Source organism: Homo sapiens, chromosome 5 (assembly GCF_000001405.40).
Source record: "Homo sapiens chromosome 5, GRCh38.p14 Primary Assembly".
Classification (NCBI taxonomy): domain Eukaryota; kingdom Metazoa; phylum Chordata; class Mammalia; order Primates; family Hominidae; genus Homo; species Homo sapiens.
In genome coordinates this window covers 157,018,664-157,032,631 of record NC_000005.10, presented here as the reverse complement: position 1 = coordinate 157,032,631, position 13,968 = coordinate 157,018,664, and the positions used below count along the sequence as shown (strand labels likewise).

At 41.6% G+C, this 13,968-nt stretch overlaps 1 protein-coding gene across 14 annotated transcripts in view; it reads left to right on the top strand.

Moving 5' to 3' along the window:
- Window positions 1-3,219, top strand: part of HAVCR1 (hepatitis A virus cellular receptor 1) — a 39,995-nt gene extending 36,776 nt beyond the window's left edge. For all 14 annotated transcript variants that reach the window (XM_024446023.2, XM_047417097.1, XM_024446021.2 and 11 more), the window contains one exon: window positions 2,791-3,219. In XM_024446023.2, the coding sequence (XP_024301791.1) occupies window positions 2,791-3,044 (254 nt within the window). In that variant the 3' untranslated portion in view covers window positions 3,045-3,219. The remainder of the gene's footprint in view (window positions 1-2,790) is intronic.

The window sequence follows — 13,968 nt, the reverse complement described above, 5'->3', positions numbered from 1 at the left end:
AGCAAACCCCATAGGGCAAGATAACTAAATTGCAAGATTTGCTCGATGGAAGTAAACATTGAATGATTTGCTTTAGTTTGTTCTTTTATTTCGTTTAACGCTTTGTCTTTTTTGAGACTGAATTTCACTCTTGCTGCCCTGGCTGGAGTGCAATGGCACCTTCTCGGCTCACCACAACCTCCACCTCCTGGGTTCAAGCGATTCTCCTGCCTCAGCCTCCCCAGTAGCTGGGATTACAGACATGTGCCACCATACCCAGCTAATTTTGTATTTTTAGTAGAGACGGGGTTTCTCCATGTTGGTTAGGCTGGTTTCAAACTCCTGACCTCCGGTGATCTGCCTGCCTCGGCCTCCCAAAGTGCTGGAATTACAGACATGAGCCACCGCGCCCGGCCATTTTTTCATACTTTTAGTAGAGACAGGGTTTCACCATATTCGATGCTTTGTCTTACTGAGTGTTATTGGCTATTATATTCCAAAGAGATGAATATAACAGACAAAAACCATGTAAGCAAATAAGCATGGTTCTTTTACATGCTTACAGATAAACACCATGGGGACTATAGAACAGGATAAGGATCTGTTTGATTGAGTGCCAAGAAAGCAGCTAATTTGGAGGAAGATAATTCCTGGCTGCAGGGGCAGGGAGTGCAAAGGCACTGAGGTAGGGCAAGTGCCTCCAGTTTTCCACAGCTTCCATCATTCCCTGCTGCTCCCTACCCAGCCTGCTCCACTGATCTATATTAGCTGTCTAGCCTTGCAGGCACTTGAATTTGCCTTTAAAGACCTTTCAGTCTACCCTGCTGCCTAGTTACTTTTTTTTTTTTTTTTTTTTTTGAGACACCCAGGCTGGAATGCAATGGTGTGATCTGCAACCTCCACCTCCTGGATTCAAGCAATTCTCCAGCCTCAGCCTGCTGAGTAGCTGGGATCACAGGCACCTGCCACCATGCCTGGCTAATTTTTGTATTTTTAATAGAGACGGGGTTCTGCCATGTTAGGCTGGTCTCAAACTCCTCACCTCAGGTGATCCGCCTACCTTGGCCTCCCAAAGTGCTGGGATTATAGGCGTGAGGGACCGCACCTGGCCCCAGGTACAATTTAAATCCCCTTTACTGCATCTATGCCCCAAGGCCATCTGCCACACTGCCTGTAGTGGTAGGAGACAACTACCTAGTTCTAAAGCCAGCCAGCCTGCTTCATTTGGTTCAGGCTGAGTTTTAAGCAAGGACTTTCTCTGATTCAGAATCTATCCCTCTTACTTAGGCTGCCATCTATTAAGTCTAGTTCTCCTTCATTGGATGCTTGTACACAGACTTTCCTGAGTCTGAGTTAATTACCTGAGCCAATCCACAGAACCTGTCTGAACAGTGCCCAGCATACTGTAAGTGCTCAATACACATCGACTTTTGTTATTGCATTCAAGCCCTTCACAGCAATAAACTGCGAGAGAGGCACTATTCTCATTTTACAGATTGGAAAACAGTTTCAGAAATGTTGAGTGACATGTAAGGTCACATCACATAGCATATAAAGGACTCAATCTCACGAATCTGTGCTCATAAATATTTCTGGAATGGAAGAGAAATGTGTAAAGTATAAAAAAAGCCAAAAAAAAAAAAACCCACACTAACAAATTATGAACACTTCTTCATGACATTATCTTCTCGGCAGTTATATCACACTGAGTCATTTGAGCTCATTGACACTTAAACTAAGTGTCTTCACACATGTATGACTGACCTGTTTAGGGACCATAGTGGAGCTTTGTTTTTCACAGTTCTTTAAATGTGTGGACATGTGTTTCATCTGCAGCTGAATGAAGACAAGTTCCATATTTTGGGGGCAGGCTTTGGTAACAAATAGTCACTATATACAAATATATAAAAATAACCAGTTACATCAAAATGCTACACGTAAGTTAAAACTAAGTCTACTTTCTTCCCTCACTTGTATTTCCACTGTTTCTACTGATTTCTTTTTTTGAGACAGAGTCTCCAGCCCAGGCTGGAGTGCAGTGGTGTGATCTCGGCTCACTGCAACCTCTACCTCCTGGGTTCAAGTGATTCTTCTGTCTCAGCCTCCCAAGTAGCCAGGATTATGGGCACAAGCCACCACACCTGGCTAATTAAAAAAAAAATCTGTAGAGACGGGGTCTCGCTATGTTGCTCACGCTGGCCTCAAGGGATCCTCCTGCCATGGCCTCCCAAAATGCTGGGATTAGAGGCATGAGCTACTGCATCCAGCACAGGAAGATTTTTAACACTATGATCCAGTGTATACTTGTGAAACAGTACTATTTAACTATATTCAATGTTTCTCTGTTCTGTTTTTATCTTGAATATAGGATGTAGATGGCTAAGTAGATTTAACAACCCTCTCTAAAGGATCACAAGCTACAGTTGGAAAAGCACCAGTCATCCAATGCTTAGCCACATTTGAAAATATGCATCTTGATTCAGCCACTTAGTTTGATGTCAGAGCTCTGTATTTTTAGATTTTCCATTTTTGTATTCTATTATGCGAGTTTCAAAGAGACCAGTCTGAGTTTTTGAATACTTCTTAGATTGTCTACATGCTTATTAAACAGACTTTTCTTCAACTTAATAATAAGAGCCACACCTTTTACAACTCTGGAAGGCACTATTTATTTTATACTTTGTGTGAACGGGGCTCCTGGAGTCTCGAATACCTGATATTGCCTGATCATAAACAAAAGTGCAGCTTATATGTGAGAAGTGGTCTGCTTTTTTTCTTACTCATGTTATTCTTCAACAACTCTTTCTACAGTGTTTCATTTAGCAGCCTTCAAATTAAAGCTTTGCAAAATGCAGTTGAAAAGGAAGTCCAAGCAGAAGACAATATCTACATTGAGAATAGTCTTTATGCCACGGACTAAGACCCAGTGGTGCTCTTTGAGAGTTTACGCCCATGAGTGCAGAAGACTGAACAGACATCAGCACATCAGACGTCTTTTAGACCCCAAGACAATTTTTCTGTTTCAGTTTCATCTGGCATTCCAACATGTCAGTGATACTGGGTAGAGTAACTCTCTCACTCCAAACTGTGTATAGTCAACCTCATCATTAATGTAGTCCTAATTTTTTATGCTAAAACTGGCTCAATCCTTCTGATCATTGCAGTTTTCTCTCAAATATGAACACTTTATAATTGTATGTTCTTTTTAGACCCCATAAATCCTGTATACATCAAAGAGAATAGTCCCTGGAAACATAGCAAATGAACTTCTATCTTGGCCATCACAGCTGTCCAGAAGAGGGGAATCTGTCTTAAAAACCAGCAAATCCAACGTGAGACTTCATTTGGAAGCATTGTATGATTATCTCTTGTTTCTATGTTATACTTCCAAATGTTGCATTTCCTATGTTTTCCAAAGGTTTCAAATCGTGGGTTTTTATTTCCTCCGTGGGGAAACAAAGTGAGTCTAACTCACAGGTTTAGCTGTTTTCTCATAACTCTGGAAATGTGATGCATTAAGTACTGGATCTCTGAATTGGGGTAGCTGTTTTACCAGTTAAAGAGCCTACAATAGTATGGAACACATAGACACCAGGGGAAGAAAATCATTTGCCAGGTGATTTAACATATTTATGCAATTTTTTTTTTTTTTTTTGAGATGGAGCTTTGCTCTTGTTGCCCAGGCTGGAGTGCGATGGTGAAATCTCGGCTCACTGTAACCTCCACCTTCCGGGTTCAAGCAATTCTCCCGCCTCAGCCTCACGAGTAGCTGGGATTACAGGTGTCCGCCACTATGCTCAGCTAATTTTTTGTATTTTTTTAGTAGAGACAGGGTTTCATCATGTTGGCCAGAATGATCTCGAACTCCTGACCTCAGAGGATCCAGCCTCCTTGGCCTTCCAAAGTGCTGGGATTACAGGCATGAGCCACCGTGCCTGGTCCATTTATGCAATTTTTATTACACGTGTGTCATGGTGCTAAGCATTTAAACAACCATCAGGCTTTCTGAACAAATTTTTAGAACCAAGAAGATCAGCAATAAAAGAAAAAAAAAAGGCGGGAGTAGGGAAAAGTCTGCCTTTTCTGCCTTATAAGTTACATTGCAGATATAAGTGTTTGAAACTCACTAGTTTTGACCCAAATTCTAAATCGCCTCCAAACCACTTTCATGTTTAAAATTGTTTAGGAGGCTAGCGCCGTGGCTCATGCCTGTAATCCCAGCACTTTGTGAAGCCAAGGTGGGCAGGTAGCTTGAGCCCAGAAGTTTGAGACCAGCCTGGGCAACATGGCAATACCCCATCTCTATTAAGAAAAAAATTTAAGGAAAAAAAAAAAAGATAAAATTGTTTTGGAAAGGCAAAGTGTCTTTCTCATATCTAATCAATTCCTGTATTTTTTTTTTTTTTTTTTTTACAATTCAATTAGGCTTATTGTAAGGATATCTTTAGTCAGTATAAAAATATATAAAAAACAATTATACTAAACCAGTATAATTGTTTAGAAGTATATATTTGCCGGCCGGGCATGGTGGCTCATGCCTGTAATCCCAGGGCTTTGGAAGGCTGAGGTGAGTGGATCACTAGAGGTCGGGAGTTTGAGACCAGCCTGACCAACATGGAGAAACACTGTTCTCTACTAAGTATAGATTTGCAAGGGCTAGATTTGTCAGAAAAGAAACATTTCTACATGAACAGTTAAGGCTGGGTATTAATTTCAATTTCAGTTTGAGTAAACTCTGAAATAATTCATGGTTGAGGTTCAGAGCTACCCATACCATAGTTGTCTGGGGCAACAGGATGCTTGCTTTCAGAGGAAACTTTTTGTTTTTGTTTTTGTTTTTTTGAGATGGAGTTTTGCTCTTGTCACCCAGGCTGAAATGCAATGGCACAATCTTGGCTCACTGCAACCTCCACCTCCCAGGTTCAAGTGATTCTCCTGCCTCAGCCTCCTGAGTAGCTGGGATTACAGATGCCCGCCACAACGCCCAGCTTATTTTTAGTAGAGACAGGGTTTCACCATATTGGCCAGGCTGGCCTCCAACTCCTGACCTCAGGTGAGCCACCCGCTTTGGCCTCCCCAAAGTGTTGGGATTACAGGCATAAGCCACCGCGCCCAGCCAGAGGCAACATTTTTTAACGCAGTTATCATTCTAGGAAATTTATAGGTCCTTTGAAGGAAAATTCTGTGGGCAAATAAGATTGTGATACATGGTATTTCAGTTTTCCCAAATGTGGCCAGCCCGATCTGGTCAAAAATTTTATTTTTTAAAAGCTATAGTGTCTTTTTTTCTTAAATTTGAGGCAACATGCACAAAATTGGAGATTTGAAATTAAAGCCAAGATTTGTAGTTTCTCTGGAAAGACCTGGCAAGATTGGACTGGATTGCTATGTGACCAGGGTCCCACTAGATGGGGCTGCATCCTCTAATCCCCAAATCCTTATGTTCCCTGCATGCTCACCTTTGTTACCTGCCTGACACCTGTGGGGCTTTTAACTTTATGGCAACTGCCCTATTCTCTGGATCCTTCCTGAGGATTTATGATGCGTAATACTCCAGGAATCTGGTTAGCTTTGCTTAACACATTTCCAAAACTTGTTTGAATGCATGAGTACAGTCACTAGTAGCATTCTGTGCAGTACAATGTATGGGGGCTTAGGAGTTTAGGGTAGTATACAGGATTAGGGATAGGACTTGAGTCTAATCCTAACTCTTAGCAGTTACACTGGATGACATTAGAGCAAATGGTTCTTTACGTCTACATTTTCTTCATCTGTAGATGTAATAATTTCCATATCAACTATGATGTACAGTGCTAATTCCAATGAAATGTTACATGTGAGAAGTCTTTGAAATGTAAAAAACACTACAGATACTGAAGCAGTTTGGAGAATTAAAAAACACTACGAAAACACAGCTTGGTAAATAATTTTTTTTTTCTTTTGAGACAGAGTCTGGCTCTGTCATCCAGGCTAGAGTGTAGTGGCAGAATCTTGGCTCACTGCAACCTCTGCCTCTCGGGCTCAAGCAATTCTCCTGCCTCAGCCACCTGAGTAGCTGGGATAGCCACCATGTCCACTTAATTTTTGTATTTTTAGTAGAGACAGGGTTCCACCATATTGGCCAGGGTGGTCTTGAACTCCTGATGTCAAGTGATCTGCCTGCTCAGCCTCCCAAAGTATTGGAATTGCAGGTGTGAGCCACCGTGCCTGGCCAGGGCTTAGCAAATAATTTCAATGGTGTTACACCTATAAGTCTCTTGCTGTATGGTATCTTTTAAAATAACATTTCTTTTTTGAAACAGTTGATATTGGGTAATTTGGCCATCATCATATACTGTAGAAAAAAATTGTCAAGTGAAAGGGAGAATAGGTAAGAAGGAAGAAAGGGGAGGAATTTAGTGAATATGAATTATTTTCCTTTAGATATATTAGTCTTGTAGATCGCAATGAATTTTTTAAATTACTATTTAAGATATTGTTGAGATTCCATTACCTCCAATCAGTCTTGGGACATTAGAACAGTGGTATAATTAAGACTGTATGTTTAAATTGAGAAATTTTGCACAACTTTAACAAGTAGCAGAACTAATTGTTCACTGATGGCTTTAAAGATGAAATAATTCTGTGAATACATGAAACTGTGAGGGACTCTTCGTGGTTGTCTAGGTTTATTTATATGCATACTCATTAATAAAAGTTTTTTTTTGTTTGTCTCTTGAAAACAAAACAGCTTTGTTTTAACAAAACAGCAATGGAACAAATTTGAAAACCGACTCGATATTTTCTCTGGCTCATCATTTAGTTTGGGTCAGCCATCTTCAACTTGCTGTGAGCTCTAGTCAAAGTGGATCAAATTTGTGGCAAGTCACACAGGTGTCAGGTGCTCTTCAGGAAACAACCCTGAACTCCAGGTTCTAAGGAGCTTAGTAGGGAAGAAATACAAAACCTATCACTTCTGATACTGATTATTACTAAGAGAAAGAATCTTGTGATAGAGACTGGCTTCTCAACTATGGCATTTGGGGACAGAAATCTCTGTTGTAGGGGGCTGTCCTGTGCATTGTAAGGTGTTTGGCGTCATCCCTGGCCTCCACCCACTAGATGCCAGTCACATCCTCCAGTGGTGACAACTGACAATGTCCCTGCGGGCACAGTTGAGAACCACTGAGGTAGAGGGTGTTTGTTGGGGGGTAGGAAGTGGTGTAGCTTTAGCTGGTTGGTCAGCGGCTGCTTCTAGGAAAGAGGTGACATTTAAGTTGAAACCAAGAAAAATGTGTAGGTGGCAGCCACATGAAAATCTAGTGGAAGGAAAACAAATGCAAAGGCTGTGGGGCAGCAGGAAGCTTGTGTATTAAAAGAGAGGATGTTGTGTTCCAATGAGTAAAAAACTAGTGAGTGAGGAGAGATGAAGAGAAGCAAGGCTGAAGAGATGTGCAAGGGGTCTGGCCAGGTGCTGGATGAAAAGGAATCTACAGGCCAGGCACAGTGGCTCACACCTGTAATCCCAGCACTTTAGGGGGCCAAGGCTGGAGGATCACTTGAGCCCAGGAGTTCAAGGCCAGCCTGGGCAACAAAGTGAGCCTCCATCTTATTAAAAATTTAAAAAAGAAAGGAAAAGGGCTCTATGAAGATGTCTGTTTGGAAAAGAGTCCCAATCTTAGAAAACCACTTTTGCATATTAAAAGCTAAACCTGCTACCCATCACCAAATTCTATGTTAACATTCACTAACATGCTTCAGTGACACTATTCTAAGTCAGGTATAGCTCGAGAGTCAGGTTTGTTGGGAGGACAGAAGGATATAGGCAGGGGAAAAAGAGGGGGAGAAGGGAACCTCTTGGCAGCAAGGGGCTTTCCACAGGGCTGTGAGACACCCCCAGGCCTTGCAAGAGGGGTTGTGAAAAAAGAGGGAACTGGCACCAACGTTTGGCTCTAATTGGTTTGGGCCCAAAATTGCTGCTTTGGGAGGCAGTAGTGGGGTGGTACAGGAGCTGATTTTATCCAGTCCACAAATGGATTTTTAAAATAGTTTTTTGATGTATATTTTTTAAGATGCATCAAACCCATGATTTAATGGGTATTGATTAGGATGAATAAAATGTTAAAGTTAATTAATCTAAAATAACTTGAGTGAGTAATAGCAAAAAAGCAATGTGAATACGGCAAAGGTTATGTAGATGCCTGAAGTCGGAGAGTCAATAGATCAAAATCAGCTGGGAGCTTGTTAAAATACACATTTCTTGGCCCTATTTCTAGACATTCTGGTTTAGCAATACAGATGTGACCTGAGAATTTTTGTTTGTTTAAATGACAGAATACAAGCTGCTATAAAATATTTTACATTTCAATAAAAGCATTCAGACTTCATGAAAGAACATGTGGAAATAAGAGCATACGATCATCCTTTACTTCTACTTATTTCAGATGTAAATCTCAGGAAATGAACCCAAAGTCTTTCTTGCAGGGGACTTTGGGTATTGCACTGCCACTTTTGTTTATTTAGTTACTTTTTGAGACGGAGTTTTGCTCTTGTCGCCCAGGCTGGAGTGCAATGGCTCAATCTCGGCTCACTGCAACCTCCGCCTCCTGGGTTCAAGCCATTCTCCTGCCTCAGCCTCCCAAGTAGCTGGGATTACAGGTGCTTGCCACCACGCCTGGCGAATTTTTGTATTTTTAGTAGAGATGGGGTTTCACCATGTTGGCCAGGCTGGTCTTGAACTCCTGACCTCAGGTGATCCACCCACCTCGGCCTCCCAAAGTGCTGGGATTACAGGCGTGAGCCACCATGCCCAGCTTTGCACTGTCACTTCTGAGGCTAAATAAAATTACCTGGAGTCTCCAAAATATAGGAAGACCCAAAAAATGTAGGGGAAGCTTATTTACACTCTGGTTTTCATGGTCTAGTTTGTGGATGTTTGTTACAGGTTCGTAGTGCTCTCTGGAAGGAAAGGAATGACAATTAGTCATTTGATCTCCCTCTGATTAAGGTTTTCTTTTGTTGTTGATTTCCTTTTGCTTTTTTTTTTTTTTTTTCCTTTGAGACAGGGTCTTGCTCTGTCACCCAGGCTGGAGTGCAGTGGTGTGATCACGGCTCACTGCAGCCTTGAAGTCCTGGGCTCAAGTATCCTCCCACCTCAGCCTCCCGAGTAGCTGGGACCACAGGTGTGCACCACCTTGCCCGGCTAATTTTTGTGATTTTTGTAGAGATGTATTTTCACCATGTTACCCAGGCTGGTCTCAAACTCCTGGGTCCAAGCAATCTGCCCACCTTGGCCTCCCAAAGTGCTGGGATTGCAGGCATGAGCCACCACACCCGGCCCTTTTGCCATTAATTGTAAACAGTTTTGGAGGGTCTCAGAAGTCATATCCTCTTAAAGCCACCATGCCTGGCTAATTTTTTTTTTTTAAGTGGAGATTAGGTCTTGCTATGTTGCCAGGCTGGAGTGCAGTGGTGTGATCATGGCTAACCCTAAGTGCAGCCTCAAACTCTTAAGCTCAAGTGATCCTCTTACCTCAGCCTCCTGGGTAGCTGGGATTACAGGCATGTGCCACGATGCCCGGCTCATTTTTGTATTTTTTGTAGAGACAGAGTCTCCCTATGTTGCCCAGGCTCTCTCAAAACTTTATTTCTTCTTTGACTGTTGATCGCATTAGATTTTCTAAGGATATATACACAAAGGCTGTTGCTCTACCCACTGCAAAAGTAATGATAGCCAACCAGAAAACCTGAGGGTGCCCTTGGTAGGCTTGACACAGAATGTGAGCATGGTGTACATGGGGCTGAGAGAGAAACAGTCTATAACTCAGAACTCCTGGGAATCGAATTGTAATGTTCCCTTGGGGATTCTCATGGACACTAAGGACCTTTCCAACTCTTACTTAGAGTCTTGGGTGGCTACTTGTGCCTTACCCCAGTCGTTCCTGAGTCCTTCCTCCGCAGGGCCACCAGCATAACCTCAAAGCTAAGATCTGTTTGTGTAACATCTTAGCTGGAAATCCTGCAACTACTCCCAATTTGGTGAAATTCTCAACTCCACAGCAAGCCCTCCACTGCTTATCCCCAACTCACTTTGCCTGCTTCATGGAGTCCCTTCCTGCTATGTTCCAAAGGCTATAAATGCCTCAGATATCCACTCTCTACTCCATGGGTCATCCCACCCGCCAGGAATGCTTGTTCCCTGTTTCTCCAAGGGTCACGTCATTCCTCCAAGTCCTGCTCCAGCGTCACTGCTTCAGCCCTTCTGGTCCTAATCCTCCTGGACAGAATTAATTCTCTCTTCTGAATACTTCTGGGCAGCCCTTTTTAATTACTCAATAAACATGGAAAAATAGAGTACCTCCCATATTCTAGGCATGGTGCTAGTACCTAGCTGAGATTATTCTGCATGAGGCCAGGGTTCCGCCTAGCCTGTGGGGCACCTTAGGGTAAATTACAAAGAGGCCTTCCTCTTCTTTCTGGCTGACACAGCCCTGAGTCAGGACAGAGCTTGTAAAAAGGAGTGTGACTTAGGATTTTTGTGCTGTGCAAACTAAAACCATAAATGGTGATCCTATAACTTTGTCCCTTGTATTAGAGATATTTACATTGATGGTGCTTTTTTACTCAACACTTCGAGGGAAGTGTCTGTATTTTCTCAGCACCTAGCTTATACTTAGTAGGTGTTCGATATATATCTATTAAAATTAGTTAATAAATGGATAGGGCCAGGTGCAGCGGCTCACCCATGTAATCCCAGCACTTTGGGAGACTAAGATGGGGTGGATCACTTGAGGTCAGAAGTTCAAGACCAGCATGACCAACATGGTGAAACCCCATCTCTACTGAAAATATAAAAATTTGCCAGGTGTCTTGGTGCATGCCTGTAATCCCAGCTAGTCTCAGGAGGCTGAGGCAGGAGAATCGCTTGAACCCAGGAGGCTGAGGTTGCAGTGAGCCGAGATTGTGACACTGCACTCTATCCTGGGTGAGAGTGAGACTCTGTCTCAAACAAACAAACAAACAAACAAACAAATAAATAAATAAATAAAAATAAAAAATAAATTGATAAAAGAATGTTTCTTAGAACCTTCCTGTGTACTCTAGGGATGGGATAGAGCAAGGAAGAGTGTCTCTTTTACAAGTCCATTTATATTACTGGCTGGAGCCGGTGTGAATCTCAGTGACTTTCTGAGATCAGTAATTTGCAACCTTAGCTGCGTGTTAGAATCATCTGGGAAGGTTGAGAAACTACCCATGCCTAGATCAATTAAATCAGAATTTCAGGAGGGGGTCGCAGATATTATAATTTTTTCAATCTCCCCAGATTTTTTATGTTTTTGAGACAGATTCTTGCTGTGTTGTCCAGGCTGGAGAGCAGCAGTGTGATCAAGGCTCACTGCAGCCTCAACACCTGGGCTCAAGCAATCCTGCTGTCTCTGCCTTCGAGTAGCTAGGACTACAGGCACACCACCATGCCCATCTAATTTTTTTATTTGTAGAGACTGGGTCTCGTTATGTTGCCCAGGCTGTTCTTGAACTCGTAGGCTCAAGAGATCCTCCGATCTCAGCCTTTCAAAGTGCTGGGATTCCAGGCATGAGCCCTGTGACCAGCCTTCCCCAGGAGATTTGAGTGTGTAGCTGAGACTGAGAACCACTGACCTTGAGAGACTTGGGAAGGGGATATGACAGCATGTTTCTATGTTGTGTGTGTCAAGTGCTCTGGAAGGACATAAAAGACACAAAATGAAACAGGAAAATGTCCACAATAGGCTAGAGCAGGGGAAAAACCAAGTAAGAAAAATGGCAAGAGGCTGGTGACCACAGGTGTGTCCTATGTCTAGCACCCACTACAAGAGCATGATGTTGGTGGCACCCCTGGGAACAAGAAGGCTGAATGTTGCCATGCTTTTGGAAAGCTTCCCAGGAAGCTGGCTCACAGCTGTTCAGCTGACTTTGTCCCTGGGCCTCCTAGGAACTAAATGTTTCCCCTACAAACTGGTAAAAATAAATAAGAAAGTCCCCTTTGGACTGCGAGGAAATGCTCTAGGGTAACCCCTATTTTGTGCTGTGGACAGCTGAGATGGGGCTTGCTCTGCCTGTAAGTGCCTGCACCTGCTTGAGCCTAAAAATACTTAAAAAAAATTTGGGAATGAGGTCTTGCAATATTGCCTGGGCTTGAGTGCAGCGGCTATTCACAGGCATGATCTTAGTGCACTACAGCCTTGAAATCCTGGCTTCAAGTGATCTTCTTGCCTCAGCCTCCAGAGTAGCTGGGACTCCAGGTGAGCATAACCTGGTCAGCTCTAAAAAATACTTTGATGATGACTGATGCACACATTACTTAATGGACTTTAATTTTTAGAAAAGTTTTAGGCTAACAGCAAAGTTGAACAGAAAGTACAGAGTTCCCACATAGACACCTTCCTCACACAATACACACACACATGATTTTGCCACCACTGTTAACTTTCCCCACCAGTGTGGCATATTTGTTACAAATGATGAATCAACATTGACACATCATTCTCAATTGAAGTTCATAGTTTACATTAAGGTTCATGCTTTGTGTTGTGCATTCTATGGGTTTTGATAAATGTGTAATGACATGTACCCACCATTATAGTATCATACAAAATGGTTTTGCTGCCCTAAAAATCTTATAGATCCACCTAGTCATCCTTCCCTCTCCCCAAATCCCTGAAAGTCACTGATCTGATCTTTTCACTGTCTCCATAGTTCTATCTTTTTCAGAATGTCATATAATTGGGGGTCATACAGTATGTAGCCTCTTCAGATTGATTTCTTCCAATTAACAATATGCATTTAAGGTTCCTCCATTCTTTTGATAGCTACACAGCTCATTTCTTCTTATTGCTAAATAATATTCCATTGTCTGGATGTATCACAACTTATTTTTGTTTATTAATTTGCTTTAGTTGCTTCCAAGTTTTGGAAATTATGAATAAAACTTCCATAAACATTCATGTGCACACAGGCTTTTGTATAGACATAAGTTTTCAATTGATTTAGGTAAATATCAAGGAACACAATTATTGCATTGTCTGATAAGAGAATGTTTAGTTCTGTAAGAAACTGCCACACTGTTTTTCAAGGTGGCTGAGCCATTTTGTATTCACACCAGCAATGATTGAGAGTTCCTATTGCCCCACATCCTTGCCAGCATTTAGTGCTGGATGTTAGCCATTCTAATTGGAATGTACTGGTATGTCATTGTTGCTTTAATTTGCATTCCTTAATAACATAAGATGTTAAACATATTTCTTATGCTTATTTGCCAGCTGTATATCTTGAAAAATGTTTATTAAGATATTTTGGCCATTTTTTAATCAGCTGGTTCATTATCTTACTGTTGAGTTTTAAGAGTTCTTTGTATGTTTTATCAGATATGTCCTTTGCAAATATTTTCTCCCAGTCCATAGCTTGTCTTTTTACTGATGGTGTTTTTTGCAAAGCAGAAGTTTTTAATTTTATTAAATTCCAACTTGTCACTTTTTTCTTTCATGGATCATGTCTTTAGTGTTGTATCTAAAAAGTCATTGCCAACCCCAAGGTTATCTAGATATTCTTCTGTTATCTTGTATGAATTTTGTAGTTTGGCATTTTACATTTAGGGCTATGATCCATTTTGATTTAATTTTTGTGAAAGGAATAAAGTTTGTGTCTAGGTTCACTTTTTTAATGTGTGGACATCCAATTGTTTCAGCACCATCTGATAAGACACCATTTGCTCTGTTGTATTGCTTTTACTTCTTTGTCAAAGGTGAAATGACTGTATATGTATAAGTCTGTTTCTGGGTTCTCTCTTCTGTTGCACTTATCTCTTTGTCTATTTTTTCAGCAATAATACAGTTTGATTCCTGTAGCTCAAAGTTATTGTAGTTCAATTATGGTAAGACTTAAAGTTGGGTAGTGTCAGTCCTCTGACTTTGTTCTAACCTTTCAGTTTTGTATTGGCTTCTCTGAGTCTTTTGCTTCTCCATATATACTGTA